Source organism: Homo sapiens, chromosome 8 (assembly GCF_000001405.40).
Source record: "Homo sapiens chromosome 8, GRCh38.p14 Primary Assembly".
In the NCBI taxonomy this organism is placed as follows: domain Eukaryota; kingdom Metazoa; phylum Chordata; class Mammalia; order Primates; family Hominidae; genus Homo; species Homo sapiens.
In genome coordinates, this window is record NC_000008.11 from 48,864,225 (window position 1) to 48,886,275 (window position 22,051).

General features: G+C 43.7%; 1 annotated feature.

Annotated features, from left to right (window-relative positions):
• Window positions 328–915: an enhancer, noted in NCBI's record as "H3K4me1 hESC enhancer chr8:49777111-49777698 (GRCh37/hg19 assembly coordinates)". NCBI's record gives its function as "activates a minimal SCP1, AML or CMV promoter by ChIP-STARR-seq in naive H9 embryonic stem cells {active_cell/tissue: H9 hESC(naive)}" and the evidence as "EXISTENCE:reporter gene assay evidence [ECO:0000049][PMID:30033119]".

Consider the following 22,051-nt stretch of genomic DNA (forward strand, 5'->3'; position numbering starts at 1 on the left):
GCCCTCCTTCTTTCCTCTTCCATGCAAGTGATGGCACCTTTGGGAAATGCACCTGGGGCTGGGCAAGGTCTATACATAAGCATGTGCAGTGTGTGTGTGTGGTTGGTGAGTTTGCGTAATATATGTATATGGGTGTGGGTGTGTCTATGTGTGTATGCATGTATATGTGTGTATACAAGTGTTTGTGTGAATATATGTGTATGTGTATGTGCATGTGTATGTCTGTATACAAGTGTATGCATGTACGTGTGTATGTGCATATGTCTATGCATGCGTGTGTGAGTGTGTATGAATGTGAGTATGTACGTATGGATATGCATGTCTTTGTGTGTGTGTGTGTGTGTGTGTGTACACACATGTATATATGTATTTTTTGGCCTGAGTACTGTTTTTACAAGAGGAAGAGCTCTGCCATCAGTGTACTGGCGGAGCAAGGTGAAGGGTAGAACAGTAACATCACTCTTTCCCCTTTGTTTTAGCTCTGCTTCCACCATTTACTAAAAGGATGAAGCCCTTAAGCCTGACTCCTTGGGAATGACAGAGCAGGGCTTTCCAGGTAAGCAAAATGGCATCAGTGTTCAAACAAGCCCACAACAGATTATTGTCCTGGAGGCCACCTTTGGTCGTTGTGATATCATGATGCAAGAGGGTCACAAAAGAGGAGCGTGCCCCTCTCCCACCTGGTCGAGGCCATCAGGCTGGGTCGGTCTGGCATTCCACACCTGCAGATGCAGCCTTCCCCTTCCTCCTGTCCACAGGCAGGAGCCTAGCTCCAAGTCCTGACCAGCCCCAAGCCCCATGCCCCCGCCCACCTGGGCAGATCAGGTGGGACAGGTGACTGTTGTTTTCCGTTCCTGCTCTTGCAGGTGTCTGCATTCCTGAGAGCGTGGTCACTGGCGGCAGCGCGTGCTGCAGGCAGCACCTCGCCTGTGCTCCGGGATGGGGAGGATGGGCCCGCCCTGCTGGCAAGATGTCTTCTAGGTCTGAATTAGAGCTTGAAAGTAGGAAACCAGCTCTGCTGCCCTGCCTGAGGGAAGGGGTACGGGTGTCACCTCAGCCTCACATTCCAGTTACCTGGGAGGCAGTTAGGGCACGAAAGGCAGAGATTCAGGCGGTTCCTATTGAAAAGCACTGAGGTTTGTTCCACCATCTATTCAAGAAAACTATTTTAAAGAATTCAGATGACACTAGAATAAAAAGCCAATTACCTTCATGGAATTCACTGGAGGCCCCACAACTGCCTGTGTTGTTTTCTGCCACTCTGACTGTCTCCCTGGAAGGCAGAGGCCTGAGGGGCCCCGGGAGCAGGGCTTCCATGGTCCTGGCAGCACCCTGGTGGTGTGTGATTGGGAAGTGTACTCATCCCCACCCTGTAGGTTCACATTACAGCTATCCTAGAAGTGAGCACCAGAGAAGCCCCGGCTTTGCTGAAGCTCCTGGAGCTGCAGGAGCTCCCCAATTAATTTGAGTTCCAGCCCCAGCTTTGCTCCTAGTGAGCGCTGTGTCCTTGGACAAGCTGCTTATTTTTTGTTTTTGTTTTTGCTTTAATGTGGAAGGTTAGGTGTTTTCCTTATGGTCCTGGAATACATGATGCTGTGTTCACACATACCATGCCAGGCCCAGCATGTACCCCAGGGTAGGTGTTTGGTACATGTTAACTCTCTCCTCCTTCTTTCGCCTGAAGGACTTCTATCTGTAAGATTTTTATACACATTGTCCAATTCTAACAAGAGAACTTTAGTTATCATAGCATCCAGGACAGTTTTGAAACAGGACCTCAATTATATAGGCGGATAAAGTAGTAACAAAAGAATATGTAAGAGAAGGAAGGCTATGGGAAAAATGAGAGTGGCCTTAGGAGGACTCCACACACACTGAAACATAGAGAATGTTTCCTTTTATCAATGGGTATTGTGCCATTTTTAATCTGCTAAATGAGGCAGAATAGGAAACTAGCTCCTCAGAGCCTGTCATGAAAAACACCCTGGCACTTTCTGTAAATCCACCAGCAGCTATTATAGTAGATACACGTTTCTCAAAAGATACACCTCATGCTTTTCAAATGGTGGCAGGAGAAATGTCCCAATGTCCAGATTAGCATCCCAGACCCTGCACCCCCAGCCACCTCTCACCTCCGCCAAGGCCCCCTCGGCTCTCCTCTCTGTGCTGGGCTCACACTGCTTTGTTCTACTCCCCTGGAGGCCCCTCCCACACATCTTCACTGGTCATCACCTCCTCAACTCTTCTGGGATTTTTGAACCCAAAGTGATCCTGATCTTCTTCCCACCTACTTATTTTGTTTGGCAAATTATAAGGTATTGTCTTGTGATCTCCTTTCCATCCTTGAGGCTTCGTAATTAAGCTCTGCGCTGGTGAAACACCATCTCTTGGTTGTGCTTTGGGCAAGGTCTGCCCCTGAGGGCACCTTCAGTCCCCCTGCATGGTGAGTATTCAAGAAGGGCTTGCTAACCTTATTTGCTCTGTCCCCACCCCCACCTCCACCTCACACCTCTTCTATATAGGGTTTTTTGACACTCAGACCAATCACATTTTAATCCCTTTTGTTGCCCTATTGTACTATAAAGATGAATTCTCCAACACGGTAGCCACTAGCCACATGTGGCTGTTTAATTTTAAATACATTAAAATGGAATTAAATTAAAAATTTAATTCTTTGTTTGGACTAGCCACTTTTCACATGCTCAATCATCACTTGTGGCTAATGGGTACAACAGTGGACAGTATGCATTATGGAGTGCTTTCATTACTGCAAAGGTCCTATTAGACGGCACTGCCATATATTTAAAGGCATATATAGATATATATATACACATACACACATATCTTTTATATATATTATATGTAATTATATACATTTCATATATATATATATAAAATGATGTTTTAAAGGTGGAAAACAGATCAAATTTTCCACATTCATTGCCCTAGACAACTAATTTTAATAGAGTTACTGTCCTTTTTATTGTTACACAGTCAATAGACTGCCTTATAGCAATTTTTGTTTCCTACATATAGAGTGAGCAATTCAAATTGGGACTATTTTCATTTATTTCCTTCTTGTTTTTCAAACTAAATGAAGAGTACTGAAACCTAGAAGGTGTTTATGCATTAAATTCATACTTTGGAACATATGAAAGTTCTCTCCTAAGAAAATGAAAGACCAAATAAGAGCGGAGGTCATGGACAGTATCTCTTGTATTTTAGGTTGGAGAAGACAGTTCTAGACATGTTTATTATCAATTTGTAATTATTTGACTTCTGCTTTAACAGAAGACTAGAAAGTTGCCCCCTTTTGAAGGAAAATGTAATTTACTTCATTTTCAAAACTATACCAAAGGCAAACAGCTGTGTCCATATGTTGCTAAAAAATTTTTCTAAATAGTAACACTAAGAACAAACTTTATTTATTTATTTTTTTAAAGAAAAACCCAGAGAAGATTAAAGACACCCAGTGCTTCCTCCTTGCAGAGCTGCCTTCCCTTTTAGTTTGCAAGAGACCATGGAGCTGGGGAATTAGAGTGTACTGGTCACCATGCCGTTGAATTTTCTAATGAGTGGCAGATTACAGTAGTTGGTACAAAGCAATGCATCAGTGCTGATGACATTAGTGTCAGCCTGACATAATTTCCCTTATTACAGTGGGGAAAAAATACTCTCAGTACATTTCTAAAACTTATGTTGCATTTGACATCTTTAGAGTTTGCAGAACGGGTTCTTATTTTTGTATTTTTTTTTCTTGAGTAAAACCAAAGTTAATTTCCTCAGGCTTTGTACTGGATTTACTGCTTGTAAGAATTGGCTGCCTTCAGGAAACTGATCAAATTTGTTCAAATACAATGGATCTTCCATCTTCCTCAGTTCTGTTCAAGTCTCCAAGATGCTTTCTTGCTATCCCACGTGACTGAGCAGTTCTTAGTTTGGCAAGAGCAGGTGTATGCCTCTCTGGCACCTGGCCCATGATTTCTCATGCCCATGGCTCCTGCAGCCAGTTGTATTTGCAGTAGCCAGGTAGAAACTCCCTGAGGTTCAACAGACCTCTGGATATGTCACACGTGTAGTTACTTAATGGATGAAACTTTGTAGGATTTGCAGGGCAAAATCTTCCCATGAATATTCAACTCCAGCTCTTTTGTCATAACTTGCCACTAAGGGGACTTTGTATTTCCAGTTTTTCTCTGTTCCTGCCCAAGAAGCATATAAAAAATGCTCGGCTTATGTAATAAGCAAGTTGGTGCCTGATAAGTATTTTTTTTTTTTTAAACAGAGTCTCACTGTGTTGCCCAGGCTGGAGTGCAGTGGTGATTTCGGCTCACTGCAACCTCCGCCTCCCGCGTTGAAGCGAGTCTCCTGCTTCAGCCTCCAGAGTAGCTGGGATTACAGGCGCCAGCCACCGTGCCTGGCTAATTTTTGCATTTTTAGTAGAGACAGAGTTTCATCATATTGGCCAGGCTGGTCACAAACTCCTGACCTCAAGTGATCCACCCGCCTCAGCCTCCCAAGATGCTGGGATTACAGGTGTGAGCCACCTTGCCCGGCCATAAGTTTTAAAATCAACAACAAGCTATTGATTTTTCAGTTCAAGATGCGAGAGGGAAACAGAGTGACAGAGATCTGGTTTCGCATGAAAACAGCCCAAAGAAGAATTTGCAAAGGAAATACACTATTTGCCTTTTTAATGGCAGGGCTTTCTTTTCAACAAGTAATATTTAATAAGCAGTCAACTTTGCTGAACAAAATAGTTATTCATTCAGGTTCTATCACAGGGATTCTGCAACTTATGAACACGTCAGCATCCCAAAGTGAATTTGTAAATTGGTTGTTTGGAAGCAGAATTCATTTTCTCATAGAAATGATGTTATTGGTTGTGGCTGTCCTCCTAGGTTAGCCCATGCATTCCCGTTTAATCCATAGCATAGCGAGACCTTATTTGCAGTTGTCCAGAGCACCAGATTCCAGTGGCACCAGCAGTGGACGGGGAAGTGGGAAGGGAGGCAGGGCACAGGTGGACCTTCTGGAAGCTGGGCAGCGCCCTAAGCATTCCCAGGACCAGACGCCTGCAGGAGCCAAGTGAGAAGGCGGGAAGGGGTGGGGGTCCCCGGATGGCCCTGGCCAGAAAATAATGTTAGGGCTGTGGAGACAGCTGGTGGGGGCCCGGGAGGTGGGAGCAGGGATTCCAGGTGAGCTGCAGGGGTGTTTGGATGCTGTGCATCCGTTTCTAAGTCAAACGTCCTGCAGCAGAGCCCTGTAACACTGACAGAGACGTTCTCCACTGAACTGTGGTGGGCTGGAGTCAACAGTTTCCATGGAATTCAGCTCTGGGGCACCCCAGTGAGGGGGATGTTTCATGCCTGCCTTTACTAGGCACGTGTGAAATATTGCCAGACAAACAAGTGTTACCTCTTTGAGCCTCAACTTTTCTATTCACAAACTGGAGATAATACCTGTTCTTTCCTTGCCAACCTCACAGGAATCCTATGAAGAGCTTTTAAAAGGTGGATTTTTAAAGAAATACATGTAGCTCATGCTAAAGCCAAGTTATTTAGAAGCTAGTTAATAAACGCGGTAAGAGGCCCAGTTGACTAACTGCTCTGATCTTTATATCTGCTACCCAGTTCTCATGATGTTCCAAATTATCTTCAGGGGTGGGGAAAAGGAAAAATGCGATTTGGCTGGTCCATGAGTTTTAAGCGAGACTTTGCCCTTCAGTTTCGAGGGGCGCGTGTGCTGCGTGTGAAGATGAAGGTGTGCACAGAGACGCATGCAGAGTGCACAGGGAGCAAGAGTGGCCGTGGGGGGCCGCTCAGCACCAAGAATGCCTAGGAAGGCTCTCAAGGGCACCTGCCTTCCTCGGGAAGAATGTAAATGCATGGAATGCCCAAGCTTCGCCCCCGGCTAAACACCCCCTTGGCGTCCGCCTGGGGGTCCCCATGAAAGTCCCCGCACGCCCTCCCCGGCCCCGCCCTCCTCAGAGCGTGGGCCCCGCGCGCCGCCACCGCCCGGCCGGGAGGCGCGGGGCTCCCTAGAAGGCTCGGGCATGTCGGAGGGAGCCGCGGTGCAGAGACTTGCCACGCGGCTGCCCGGGCGGCGCGCGCTGGAGCAGCTTTGTTTCCTCTGCTCCCGACGGGCATCCTGCCCTGCGGAACACCCACCCGAGCCCTGCGCGGGAGGGGCGGCCGGGAGGCGCGCGGGCATGCGGAGGGGAAACAGGGCTGCAGCTTCAAGCCCAGGCAGGACGCCCTTAGTCACCTTATCGGAAAGTGGGCAGCGCCGCGTCTCCGGTTAGTCAGAGCCCCAGGTAAATAAAGAGCTCGGTGTCTGCGGGGCTCTGGCCTCAGTGGCTCGCTCTGTCACTCCGCTTTCCAATACACGCACCCGCAGGACTTTCTTTGAGGGTTTCCTTTTTTGGAGTGAGCACTGAACGCAGAGCGCTTGGACGGTGGCGCGGCGTTCACGACCCGGCCCCGCGCAGACTCCAGAGACTCCTGCAGGATAGGGAGCAGCTCCTAAAGGCCCTTTCCTCCTTCCTCCTATTTGCCTCACAGTCCCCCACAAGAAGCACCCCCTCTTAAGCAGGGCCAGGACAGGTGACGCCTGTACATCCCACCCCCCCACCCACATTTGGAAAGGGTTAGAGAGGAAAAGAAAAGCCTAGCGTGTTAGAAAATTAAAGCAAAATCCTTGACAAATGAAAACAATCCAGCGCATTTTAGCACTGCTTTTAGAGGAGTGCTGTGATAGTGGTCCGGCCCTGCCACACTCTAATCTATTAGATGCCGATCTGATATCCAGAGGACAGACTGGCCTTGGCAGAAGTACCCTCTATGGCTGCCTCTGCAGTGGGTGCTTTCGGCTGTCCCGTGTGAGAGTGGAAAGGACTCCGTGTCTGAGGACGTCCGTCCGGCTCTGAAAGCCTGGGGTCCTGAGACCTGTGTGCCTGAGCTGCGGTGCGCCTAACGCTTTTGTCAGACTTCCCACCCTGACAGGGTCGGGGGTCACAGAGAAAAGCAGGCTTGGCAGAGAAGGGGATCTGAAGGCTTGGACTGTTCCGATGAACCAGGATCCATGCTGGGCACCAGACCGAGGTCTTAGCTCATGATCATCTCGCTTCTCATGGAGGCAAATGGAAGGCAGTGTTTTCAGATGTCAGCTGACATCATGGCCACATCTCTTAGTCAGTTTTAGGCTATGCAGGGAGGGTGAGCCCATGGACAGGAGGTGAAGGCTTCATGTGTTTAGAAATGTGCTTACTTTTTATTGCTTGCTTTATAACTCATTCTCTGGATAAAATCCTCCCACACTGGAGACCAGAGAAGGGATTAAATTCCTAGGAAGAGAGAGACGCAGGATTGACTTCAGTTTGAATTTGCTTCAGTTTGCTTTCTTTCTGTTTTCCTGCAGCTCACGTCCAGGTTTATTCAGAGATCTTAGCAGAGGCGGGGAAGCGGCCTCTCCTGCTTGTACGTGCCTGATAAGGGTGATGTACATCGGAAAATATGTCCGTTTTTCTTAGGCTCCACATGCTGTTTGTAAAATTGTTTTCTTTATATTTTCTGATTATATGAACTGTTATGTACTCATTGTTTATAACAAATGTGCTTCAAAACAATAGCTAGTGGAGGAATAATTCTGCCACCTGCTTTCACTCTTTTGGACACTTCTTTCCGGGCCTCTCTATGCTCCATCTTTTCATTGGTGCCTAAGAGATCTTTGATGTTTGCCTGGCTTCAGTACCACCTCTATGTAAATAATTCCAAAACTTCTATTTTCAGTGTCACCGAGCCTCCATGCACTAGCCCCTTATTTTCTTAGCAGCGATTTTGACATTTTACTGGTGTGGCCACGTTCACCTTTAATTTCTGAATACTTACAACTGAGCGTCTGGGTTTCCGGTCCAGACAAGACAGCATTGACTCATCTCTGCTCATCTCTACAAGCACAACTGTAAACTCTGGAAATGACACAGACGCAACCATAGGAGAACCCCAAAGGGGAAAGAGGAGAGCAGTCTGGGCCCAGACCCAGGACCGTGGCTGAAGGAGCAGCACAGAGGAGGGTCTTATGGCCCCACCCGACAGGAGGAGACAGCTCAGGACTGGTGTCCCCACCCCTGACCAATAAGAGAAAGAGGCCTGGCAGGCTCATTCCTCCCGGGATGACACCAGGTCAGCCAGCAGTGCCTGCAGGGGCACCCACGAGGAGCCTGCGTGTGACGAGAGGTGGAGGAAGGGTTGGCTTTGCACTGGGCCTGCAGCCCCCTCTGTCCCCTAGTACAGGCATCGGCTGACACGATTCCAACACACATTCTTTGTTCCCATAGGAAATAGACTCCCTTTTCCCTCCTATAGGCACCATGGGTCAGGAGAACATCACAGGGAGGAGGTACTACAACAAGTTCCTGGCTTGGGAAGTGCTCCTCAAGCCCAAGGGCTGCAGTTCCTTTCACAGTCTACACACACCAGGTGGCAGGGCAGCCGGTGAGCAATGATGCAGCCACAACAAGCAACTACCCAGGGAAATGTGGTCTGCCACTCAGAAACTGAGCTCCTTTCTCTTCTAAGGAAAAGCCAGGGCACAGCAGCTGAGGTTACAGAAAGGGGCCTGAGAAATGTCCTTTGTCCCAGAAGTCCTCACACTCCCTTCCTTCATCCAGAGACCTGTGATTTCCAGCCTAGGGACACACCTTCTGCACCCTCGGCCAGCACCAGCAGGGCTCGGGGACCACCACTGGCACCAGGTGACCAAGTAGATCAAAATAATACCACCAAGACTGAATGTAAACTGCCATGGCAGCCACGGCCCACAGAGCTGCCCAGAACCTGCACGCTAAGCCTAAACACGGTGACTGCTGGATAAAATGGAGGACTTGGGTAGGAACCAGACACTCCTAACAAAACAGACAAGATGTCCAGGATCCAACTGAACTCACCTGTCAAAGAACCAAAAAACATCACCAGCTGAATGAGAAAACATGATCAACAGATGCCAACACTGAGCTGACTCAGATGTTGAAATCATCTAACAGGAATTTTAAGGTACCCATCATAATAATACTTCAGCGTGAATTTCCAAATCCTTTTGACACAAATGAAAAATAAGAATAGAAATTATAGAAATGAAGAAAGAGGAGTTATAAGTGGATATTGTAAAAATGAAAAATACAATAACCAACATTAAAAAAACACACTGGAGGGGCTCAATAGCAGGGTGGAGATGACAGAGGACAGAATCTGTGAACCGAATGGCAGAGCAGTAGAATTTGCTTAATCAGAATAAAGGAGAGAAAACACATTTAAAAAAGATATGAGGAAAGCCTCAGGAACCCGAGGGAAATGAGGAAAGTCCAACTTTCATATTATAGGAGTTTCTGAAGGAGAGGAGAAAGAGAGTGGAGCTGAAAAAGTATTCAAAGAAATAATAGGTGCCAGCTTCCCAAATGTCAAAGGTGAGAAACAGAAACCTACATTTTCAAAGAGCTGAGCAAAACTGAAATAGGAAAAACCCATGGAATCCATGCCAATACACATCATAGTTAACTGTCTGAAAACTAAAGATAAAAAAACAAAATCTCGAAAGCGCCAGAGAAACATGACTCATCACCTACAGGGGAACACCAGTGTGAGTGATAGCAGATTTCTTATCTGAAAACATGGAGGCCAGAAAGGAGTGGCATAACCTTCTATAAGTGCTGAAAGAACTATGAACTACACGTTCTATATCTGGCAAAACATCCTTTAGGAATTAGGAGAGTTAGAAAATTAAGAACACTTGTTGCTAGCAAACCAGCCTTTAGAGATGTAATAGATGAGAAAATGATATTCAGGAATGTTCAGAATGTCAGAAAGAAAAGAATCTTTGATGCTTCTTCTTCTTCTTCTTCTTATTTTTGAGACGGAGTTTCACTCTTGTCACCCAGGCTGGAGTGCAATGGCGTGATCTCAGCTCACTGCAACCTCCTCCTCTCAAGTTCAAGCAGTTCTCTTGCCTCAGCTAGGATTACAGGCACCTGCCACCATGCCAGGCTAATTTTTGTATTTTAGTAGAGACTGGGTTTTACCATGTTGGCCAGGCTGGTCTCAAACTCCTGACCTCTGGTGATCTGCCTGCCTCGACCTCCCACTGGGATTATAAGAATGAGCCACCGCACCCGGCTGATGCTTCCTATTATGACTTCCCAAATCACACTTGATCAATGAGGCAAGATTTATAAAACCATCTGACGTGGTGCTCTTAGGAAAAGTGGGAGAGTAAAGGGACATAAATGGAAGTATGGTTTCTACACTGCACTGGAGTTGGTAAAATGTTGATGCCAACAGACTGTGATAATTTATGTATACATATTATAATTACCTACAGCAACCACTAAGGAAAATATGCAAAACAATATTCTAGAAATCACTATGAAGAAATCAAGATGAAATTGATAAATTGGACTTTATCAAAATTAAAACATTTTCTCCATGAAAGATTCTGTGAAAAGCATGAAAAGACAGGCTGACAACCTGGAGAAAATATTTGAAAACTACGTATCCAACAAAGGATTAGTATCTAGACTACATAAAGAACTGTCAAAGCTCAACAGTAAAAAAAAAAAAATCAATTCAACAATTAGTAAAAGACACAAACAGACCGTCTTGATGGAAAGAGTATGTAGATGGAAAATGAGCACATGACGAGATGTTCAGCATCACTAGCTATTGTGGAAATTAAAACTGCAATCAGGTATCATTATAAATTTATTAGAATGGCTAGAATAAAAAATTGTGACAATACCAAATGCTGACAATGATGTGGATAAACAGGATCACTCACACATTGCTGATGGAATGTAAAATGATATAGCCACTTTGAAAAACAGCTTTGTAGTTTCCTGTAAAACTGAACATGCATGTAACTATCAAAAAATTCGACAACTGTCGTCTTGGGCATTTATCCCAAACAAATGAAAACATATGTGTATGCAAAATATGTAACTGACTATTATAGCAACTTTAATTGTATAATCCCAAATAGAAAATGACCTAGATATCCTTCAATGGATGATGATTAAACAAACTGTGGTGCATCCATACCATGAACTGCTACCCAGCAATAAAAGGGAATGAAGTATTGATACACCAAACAACTTGGGTGAATCTCCAAGGAATTAGTCTGAGTGAAAAAAGCCAATCCCAACAGGTTACAGAATGTATGCTTTTATTTCTGTACAATCTCAAAATGACAAACTCACAGGATGGAAAACAGAATAGTGATTGCTATAGGCCAGGCGTGAGGGCAGATGGTGAGGGAAGTGGGGTGTGCAGACAAAACAGCAACAGGCGGGCTCCTTGGGCAATGGCACGATTCCATAGCTTGGCTGTGTCAGTGTCAGTACATGGTTGTGATATTGTACTAGAATTTTTCAAGATGTTACTATTGGAAGAAACCAGGTAAAATGTACACTGGATCTTTCTGTATTATTTTTATACCTGCGTGTCAATTTAAAATTATGTCTTTTTTTTTAAAAAAAAAGCTAAATCCAAATTTAACCTCAATTTAATGAAATTAAGGACTCAAAAATGTTCTGATACTAGGGAACATCTGGCTAATATTGACATCTTCTCTTTAATTGGAATGCTTGTTAGTTTTTAAGATGGTAGTATGTAACAACAAATTAAGACACAATTGCAATTTAGAAAACTACATTTTAAAAATAATTTTTATCTACAGTGAGGGTGGCTGGTATAATAAAAATGGAAATTATTCTGTTTTATGATTTGAATTTCATTTCCACTTGAGAAATATTTAAAGTAAAATAGAAAAAAATAATTAATTTGATTTGGAAAGTATGTATCTTTTCAGTAAGAGCTGTGCCAATTAAAACATGAATAAAGTTTCATTTGAAAGAGTTTTTTTTCCATTTTTGCCCCATGACATTTAATTGAAAGCAAAATAAACAATGTGTGGCAACCACATGCTATTAAATGTGCGATTTCATTAAGCAATATGTGAGGGAAGAATTTGGCTAGTTGACAATAAACTGAGGTAACATTCAGGAGGCTTTTGTTTTTAAACAGATACAGAATGCTTAACATGATCACTGAAATGGTAGAGTTTGATTGGCATTTGAGGTCAAAGCTTAGCTGTTTGTTCTTTCCACTTCATTGCCATTGCTTGGTTAATGGAGATAGAATAGAGGGTGGACTTCTTCCTCAAACCAGTGGCTTTGTTGGGTAGCACAAGGAGTTGGTCAAGAATATCAGCTGCCACACAGTCTTCAGTCCTGCTCATGAGCAGACAGGCGTACCACTTTTACTCAGATACCTAGCATTTCAATGCTCATTTAAATAATTCAGACTATACACATGTCTTAGCAGATTTTCCTCTTCCAGCCAACAATTATTTTGAAGGCCATTGCAGCACTGATTTAGAAGAACAGGCTGGATGCATCAGCTAAATGGATTTTTATTCTAAACTGAGCAGTTAGCATATTAATCACACTTCAAACAGCAGAGTTGTGATGCTGCTACCCCTGTGACTGTCATGCTCAATGTGGGGAACTCAACTGCACAAGGAGAACAATTCATAAGGAACCGTGTGTAAATTCAACTTGGCAAGTCTTGCTGCATTAACTAGGGCAGCACCAAAGAAAGTTTCATAACTTACCAGGCAAGAATTAAGAATTTTAAAAAAAAGAACAGTTAAGACACATTGCACAAATCTTGACAGCGTAATGTAAATATTATCTTTTAATAATTTAGGATTTATTCTCTTTAGCTCTGCTCCCAAATGTACAACCCTTGGACCAAAATCAATTAAACCTTCAAAAATGACAAATAAGCTAAAAATAATATGTAGTGAGGTGATCTATAATTATATGCATCAAAGGAATTTTTCTTGAGTTTTTAGTATGCGTTGACATTGAAAGAAAGGAGAAGGATCACCTTAAAAAGTAACTTTCAAGTTTAGACTCAGCTTGCCTATCACCTTTTCTATTAAGGATTGGTTCTTAATTTTTTTTAGAAGAAAAGCATTTAACTTTTAACGATAAAGAATATTTTCAAATACTTAAGGCCTCTATGAGTTTTCATCATGGTGCCTCTCAGATCCACTATTTCTGTCACTTGACTTACTTCCCTTGGTATAATAATGTGAAATCGTGGGTTTGGAAGGCATTATGATGGAAACTCATAGAGAGGCTTTAAGTAGCTGTACATTCTCTCACCCCTCACTCAATTCACTCACTGACTCTCTCAGAACAACCTCCTTTCCTGCAAGTTCCATTCTCGGTAAGTGCCCTATACAGGTGTACCATTCTTTTTCTTTTATCCTGTATTTTTACTGCACTTTTTCTAGGTTTAGATATGTTCAGATACACAAATACTTACTTTGTGTTACAGTTGCCTGCAATGTAGCCTAGGAGCAAGAAGCTATACCATAGCCTAGAAATGTGGTAGGCTGTGCCATCTGGGTTTGTGTGTACGCTCTGTGATGTTCACACAATGATGAAATCACCTAATGACATGGTTCTCAGAACACATCCCTGCCATTAAGTCACGTGTGACTGTGTTTTAATGACTGCTATAGAGAGACCTAAGGACAAAGACCAAGGTGCTTTGTCCATAATCACTTGCTGTATTTGGGAAGCAGTCGTGCGTTTGAAACTATAAATCAATAATTAGGAGCAAACAGAAGTCCCAAGACCAACTTTGATATTTGCCATTGGGCACACGCTGATTTTACACATAAAGCACTCAGCATGTGGCCTTGGCCTGGCGTTGGGGGTCTGTGAGTGCTCCTGCCAGAGCCAGCCTGCAGGAGGCACATCCCACATACAGAGGACAAGGCGGCCCATGGCAGAGGCCCTTCACACAACTGGATCTGAAGAGGGTGGAAACGTTGTCGGCAGAACTGAGGTATATTGCAATGAATGCTACTTTTCCTTTGTACCTACCTATCCTTCCAAAGGGAGATTGCTAGGGAGATTGGAGAATGGATCCTGAAACCTCACAGGGCATCCAGGGCCCATCCAGCAGCAGATGCCTGTGAACGGGCTGGGTAGGACCCTGGGGAGGGTCAGAGCCTAGGGGCCTGGGGAGGGCGTGCCTCTCTGAAACACTGTAGAAGCCAAATGATACAGCTACCAGCAGTATTTGGTTCTCATGCTACCACACTTTGATCCCTGTCTCAAGAAATAATGAAACAGAGAATAGCCCCCATTTTCTTACCTTTAGGAGGCAGCCCTATGCAAGCACTTACACGAACTCATTGCATCTTAACAGACTCCTCTGAATTAAACACTATAATCTCCCTTTTACAGATGAGGAGATTAAGGCTCAGAGATAAGTAACTGACCTAAGATTATACATAAGTAAGTGGCAAAGAAGAGCCTGTTCAGCTTTGCCTCACAATTCGGGGTTCTTAGCATTCTGTTTTGCTGCCTCCAGTACAAAAATCCATGCAATGCGGGTGGCCTGGAGGGCAGCCATGGGGGATCTGAGCCAAGCACAGATAACACCGTCCTGCAGGTGTGGACTTTCATCTGAAGAAGGCAGTCTCAGCAGGAGAGGCTAGGTCTTTAGGACCAGGGCTGCACGGCACAAAACACCCACCTCCAGCAGGGCTGCCTGGAAGTCATTCAAGCATTTATTCATTAGGATCTTTCTCACAGCCGAAGCTGGCTAAGATGTCTCTCCCTCAGTGCTGCCTGTCCCCGGCCCCACTACCACCTGGCCTTGATCTCCATACTGAAATGGCCTGGACTGCTTTTGAGGCATTTGCCAATGTTGACCTCGCATTGTGCTTATTCTGTGCTTTTGTAATATGTAGCAGTTACAGTCTAACAGAACCAGTATCTTAGCTCTGCCATTTGCTCAGGGTGTGAGTTTGGACGTTGCCTTAAATATATTAAATCTGAACGTTCCTACACCAGGTGGGCATAATAATATCTCCCGCCCTCTTTGATTGTTACCAGGATTTAATGGGATGGTGCATATAAGTACTGGGTGCAGAATTGGCACCTAGTAAGCTCTGAAAAAGAGGTTTGTGTAATCTTTGCTAATCATAATAAGTATTATTGATTTTACTTCACAGCACATTCTAAAAAAAAAGTCAGTCTAATATAGAACCTAGCAGCACCTGTTTCATTTAGTAAATAAAAGAAAATAAACCTGCCAGGCGTGGTGGCTCACACCTGTAATCCCAGCACTTTGGGAGGCTTAGGTGGGTGGATCACCTGAGGTCAGGAGTTCGAGACCAGCCTCGCCTACATGGAGAAACCCCGTCTCTACAAAACTACAAAAATTAGCCAGGCGTGGTGGTTCACGCTTGCAATCACAGCTACTCAGAAGGCTGAGGCAGGAAAATCACTTGAGCCCGGTAAGTGGAGGTTGCAGTGAGCCGAGATCCTGCAACTATACTCCAGCCTGGGTGACAAGTGAGACTCTATCTCAAAAAAAAAAAAGAAAAAAGAAAAGAAAAGAAAAGAAAAGAAAAGAAACCTAATGCATTTTAAGTACCTCACTGAAGAATGGCAGGAGACATAAACACTACTAATATGACTAATTCTTGTTTTTTACCCATGTATTCAATTAGTGTTACATTGAGGCTCATATGTTATGTTAGCTACTGTCCTGTTCTCTGTAGCTTCAGCAATATGTCTTGGAGCTTACCATTTCTCATTTAGGCAGAGATTTCAAAAAATAAAGATTTATATTTAAAATACATACCTATTCTATTTTTGACCACTAGTTTCAAGTAATGTCCTTGGAAATGGGTTTCAGAATAGCCTGTGGGCAACTAGAGTGGTCAAAGAATACTTTTGTCTACAGAAAATTTTATAATCATTTAATTAGAGTCCCCTATAGTTCCAGATAAACAGATGAGATTATTTTCTGGTGTGCTTCTATCAGATGAGGGAGTGTTGAAAATGTGGGCTTCCAAAGGGGAATTGTGCTGCTCCCAAATAACATCAGAGTCGCGTGACTGGAGGAGGGGTCATGGGTGTAGGGGAGCAGCCAACATTGATGGCCACCTCCCCCAGAAGCAGCCAAGCCCAGCCCTGGAGTCAAGGTGGACCTCAATGATAAGCTGGTGAACACATGAAGAAGGCTGCATGCTGTTTATAGCATGTTCATAACATTATTGAAATGACAAAATTACAGAGATGGGAGGACTGTGAGACTGCTTTATTTGAGGCTCTATTGTTTGGTGCAAATACATTGAAGATCGTTATGTGTACTGGGGGATTGATCCTCTTACCAGTGTATTAGTTTCCTAGGGCTGCACAACAAATTTTCATAAACTCAGTGGCTAAAAAGATCAGAAACGTTGTCTTCCAAAGTTCTGGAAGTTTGAAGTATGAAATCAGAATGTTGGCAAGGCCCTGCTCCTTCTGAGGGCTCTAAGAGAGAATTCTTCCTTGCCTTCCCTGGCTTCTGATGGGTGATGGGTCCCTGCCGGTCCTGGGCTTGTACATGCATCACTCCCGTCTCTGTCTTCCTCATCACATTGTGTCTGTGTCCAGATTCTCTTTCTATAAAGACACCAGTCATTGGATTAGATCCTATGAGAATCCGAAAAGATCACATCTTAACTTGATTACCTCTGCAAAGATCCTACTTCCAAATAAGGTCACAGTCACTGGTAGCAGGCATTAGGACCTCAACATATGTTTTTGAGGGGGTAAATCAATCCCCAATGACCAGTATATCATGCCTGTCTTTGCCTCTGGTAATTTTCTTTTTCTGAAGAATACTTTATAATATGAGTAATACTCTATTAGATGTTAATATAGCCACTTCTGCTTTTTAAAAATGCTGCATGGCACATATATTTCTTTAACTTTAACTTTCCTCATCCTTTAACTTTCAATCTGCGTGTGTCATTGTATTTGAAGTGAATTTTTGGGAGACAGGATATTATTGGATAGTATTTCTTTTTATCATTTCTTGCAAATCTCCGTCTTTTGATTGGTTATTTAAGACTGTTTACATTGAAGACCATTGTTGTACCACTTCATTATTCAAGTGTGTCACTTCATTTATTGTTTTCTGCTGGTTTCCTCTTTCTCATTCCTTGGTTTCTATTTTCTTGCTTTCTTATGGGTTACATGAACACTTTTAAGATTCCACATTGGTTTATTTATAGAGTTCCTGAATATAACCCATCTTATATTTTAGTAGTAGTTGCTTTAGATACTACAATACGCCTACACAATTAATCACTGCTACTGGTATTGAGCTTTTATAACTGAGTGAAGGGTAGAACCCAGTCTTCCATATAGGTCTTACTCACTACCCTCTCTGCTTTAAAATGCAATTGCTAAGTACTTCTTCTGTGTACACACTTGCCCCACATCAAATGGTGTTATATATTTTGCCTTAGCCATCAAATAAATTTAGGAAACCCATGAGAAGGAAAGTCTATTATATTTACTGCTATTTTATTCTCTCCATTGTCTTTCTTTCCTCTCCGAGGTTCATAGCATTCTGACACCATTTCTTCCCTCCGTGAGGGAACATCCTTCATCCCAGCTTCAAGGGCTATCTTGCTGGCAGCAGACGCTCTGAGTTTCCCTTTGCTAGAGGATGTCTTTATTCATGAAGCATATTTCCACTGGATATTAAATTCATGGTTTACATTTTTTTATCACTTAAAAAATGTTGTGCTAATTCCTTCTGGCCTCCATGTAAGTCATCTCTCTCTGGCTGCCATCAACATTTTTTTCTTTGTCTTTAGTTTTCAGAAATTTGCTTGTGATGTGTATTGGCATAGATTTCCACAGATTTATCCTGTTTAGGGTTTGTTCAGCTTTTGGAAGATGTAAGTTTCTGTCTCCCATCTTTGGTATTTGGAAAGCTTGTACCTATTATTTCTTTGAATACATTTTCAGCTCCACTCTCTTTCTCCTCTCCTTTAGAAACTCCTATAATATGAAAGTTGGACTTTTTCTATTTTTTCCTCTGGTTCCTGAGACTCCAATTTCTTTTCTGTCCATTTTCTCTCCTTTGTTTTGATTAGGCAAATTCTACTGATCTGCCATTCAGTTCACTGTTTCTATCATCTGTTATCTCCATGCTGCTATTGAGCCCATCCAGTGTGTTTATATTTTGGTTGTTGTATTTTTAACTTTATAATTTCACTTATAACTTCTCTTTCTTTGCTTCTGTAAATTCTCTCTCTTTTTATCCTTTTTTTTTTTTTTTTTTTTCTGAGACAAGGTCTTGCTCTGTTGCCCAGGCTGGAGTGCAGTGGTGCGATCACAGCTCACTGCAACCTCAGTCTCCTAGGCTCAGATGATCCTCCTAACTCAGCCTCCCGAGTAGCTGGGACCACAGGCATATTGGACAACAGACATGTGATACCACACCCAGCTAATTTTGTAATTTTGTAGGGATGGCATCTTGCCATGTTGCCCAGGTTGGTCTTGAACTCCTGGGCTCTAGTGGTCCTCCTGCTTCAGCCTCCCAAAGTGCTGGGATTAAAAGCATGATAACTGTGCCTGGCCTACTTCTGTCATTTCCATTTTTCATTTGTGTCAAAAGGATTTGGGATTTCATGCTGAAGGATTATTATTATAGGCGCCTTAAAATTCCTGTCAGATGATTTCAACATCTGATTCAGTTCAATGCTGGCATCTGTTGATCATGTTTTCTCGCTCAGCTGGTGATGTTTCTTGGTTCTTTGACAGGTGAGTTCTGGTTGTATCATGGACATTTTGTCTATTTCATTAGAATGTCTAGGTCCCATCCAAATCCTCCATTTTATCCAGCAGTCACCCTGTTTAGGCTTAGCATGCAGGTCCTGAGCAATTTTGTGGGCTGTGGCTGCCATGACAGTTTATATTCAGTCTTTGTGGTGTTGTTTTGATCTGCTTGGTTGTCTGGTTCCACTGGTGGTGCACTGATTTCTGCTGGTGGTGGCTGAGGGTGCTGGGAAGCAGGGCCCTCTCGACTGGGGAAGGGAGTATCAGGCCCTCAGGCCCACCCAAGGGGCAGGCAGCTGTGGAGGTCCCCAGCTGCCCGCCTCCACCACATGACGTCTCCTTGGTGCTGGGCAGAGGTGGAGGCTCTGCTGGCTGCTGGGTCCTGCACACTCCCTGCTGGGCAGTGGAAGATTAGCTCCCTGCTCTCTCCTGCTGGCACTACCCCAGTAGGGGAACTAGGAGCAGAAGAGGAGGTGGGAGTTCAAATCTCCTCTTGACCAGCTGATATGGCTTGGCTTTGTGTCCTCACCCAAATCTCATCTTGTAGTTCCCATAATTCCCACATGTTATGGGAGGGACCTGGTGGGAGATTATTGAATCATGGGTGTGGGTCTTTCCCATGCTGTTCTCGTGATAGTGAGACGGTCTCATGAGATCTGATGGTTTTTAAAACAGGAATTTGTTTGCACAAGCTCTCTCTTTGCCTGCTGCCATTCAGGTAAGATATGACTTGCTCCTCCTGCCTTCTGCCATGATCGTGAGGCTTCCCCAGCCATGTGGAGCTGTAAGTTCAATAAATGTCTTTCTTTTGTAAATTGCCCAGTCTTGGGTGTGTCTTTATCAGCAGTGTGGAAACGGACTAATACACCAGCCGAGAAAATACAGAGTTGGGGGTGGGGTAGAAGCAGAAAGGGGAGTGTGGTTTTCCACTGGAGCTTGGCTGGAGTAAGACAGGTATTACCAATGAGATTTTCTGTTGTTAGGCCACCTGTGTCCTGGCTCTGTGGCCAGAAAGACCAGGCTTTTCCTGGAATTATTTTTGTCTGTCTTGTTGGGAGCTCTGGGTTGTGGGCTTCTAGAGCGTCCTGTCTAGGACATATGGAAGCATGAGGAATACCCAGGGGACTCACTGCCATTTGCTCCTCAAGTCCCGAGGCCCCCTCGCTGTCTTCCTTCTTTCTTTCACCTTTCAGAGTCTCCATGTGCTTGTTTTCCCATTATGTTCAATGCTTTCTAGTTGTAATAGACTAGACAGGGCTAGCCTAGCTAGGAATAGCTGGAAGTCACCCATGGGCCTAATTTTGTCAGTCCCGTTTTACTTTAGATAAGTGGCTGTTCTGAGGCACTACTGTGATGTCATTCAATCAGGTGAGTGATGCATTAGTTCTCAATTTTGGAAGCTTTTGCAATTGTGCTAGATCTATAGTTGACTGGGGGAGTGGAACGGGGAAGCCATTTGTCCACTTGTCTTTATGTGGGTGAAGAACATGCTTTCTCTTTGTGAAGCGCCAGCTGAAGGTGAGATTTTATAAGTCAAGGTAAACATAACCCCAACCACAGAATGAAAAACTCAGGCAAAACAAGGTTGTAATAGTTTTATGGATAAGTTGCAGCTGGCAAAATGTTAGTTAGGATGAAGATACATAAGAAACAGGGGGCCGGGTGCGGAGTCTCATGCCTGTAATCCCAGCACTTTGGGAGGCCGAGGCGGGCAGATCACGAGGTCAGGAGATCGAGACCATCCTGGCTAACACGTGGAAACCCCGTCTCTACTAAAAATACAAAAAAATTAGCCGGGTGTGATGGCGGGCACCTGTAGTCCCAGCTGCTGGGGAGGCTGAGGCAGGAGAATGGTGTGAACCTGGGAGGCGGAGCTTGCAGTGAGCCAAGATTGCGCCACTGCACTCCAGCCCGGGTGACAGAACAAGACTCTGTCTCAAAAAAAAAAAAAAAGAAAAAGAAAAGAAACAGGGACTTTCGGCTTGGGCATTACCTAATGATTAAACAGTACCAAGTTTTGTTGAGTGAAAGGGAACATTCAAACTCTGCCCTTTGGTATTAAGTCTGTCAAACTGGTTACCAGCAGCTCCAAGCCACTTAAGACTTAGCAAGAACAACAGAAACATTTACATATGATCCCTCTCATAATTACACATTGCAGTGCTTTGGCGTAAATGGAAAAAAAAAAAAAGTAAAATTACTGAGCACATAGAGCTAGTGCCCTTAATCTAGCTGCTACTCCCTTCCAATGGTTACCAGTTGATAGTCCTCGTTAGGGAGGCAGATCATCTCACAGGAGTCACTTTTTGCATGAGAACCAGCCAGTGGAAGCTCACACATTTCTCCTCAGGAGGAAAACTGAAGGAAAAAGAGGACACAGGTGTGGTGACAGAATGACACACGTCATGCTAGTTGGGAATTTTCTTACCCTGCCTCCACTTCCATCACCTTTTCCTATAAGGTCTTCAGGGATGTTCTTCAGTGCCTCACGCTGGATTTTGCAGAGTCTCAGAACATGAAGGAGGTTTGGAGGCAGCTGCTGCTCTGAAAGACAGAGAAATCGGGCATGCACAACCTGGGCTTGGTAATTTAAACCAAACTCAAGCTTTTTTGCAGATCCTTAGGTCGAATGCTGCCTCTACTTAAAGTTTGATTTTCCATATTATTTTATATGTGTATATGAAAAGAGACCAACCTTATTATATTGACTTTCAATATCACCTAAAAGCCTATTGAACTTTAAAATACCATATAAACAAGTAACCAAGAACATATTTATAATGTTGTCAGCATTGCTCTGATCTATTTAGCATCTACTGTATTCTTGCAGCTTAACATAAAAGTAGCACATTCTTGGAAAGTCTGTCCCTGAAAACCTCATGCAGGTCAGCTTCATATACTGTTCTCCATCACAGTACCTCATTCAGTTTCTTCCTAGCACTTACCTTCATTATCTGAACTTATGTTTTTATTTATTTTTGTCTTTACATTTCTAGTATGTGGCTTCTGCAACTAGGATGTAAGTGCTGTGAGTGTAGGGACATCATTTATCTTTTAACTGCTGTGCCACTGTGCTTTGACCAGTGCCTAACTACAGGAAAACTCAACAATAATTGTTGTTAAATCAATCAATCCATCAATTCACCAACATACACTGCAAGGTTATATTATCCTCATTGAATGGATTAAAATACCGAAGCTCTCAGAAGTGTGGACATTCTGAGGGCTCTTGTCATCTTGAGAAGCTGTTGTGCAAAAGCCAAAGACAGGGTGGGTTACTTACACATTAGCACTGAATAATAAATACGTGCATATTTGTGTAAAATGTTAACTATTTCCCTGTGCTCC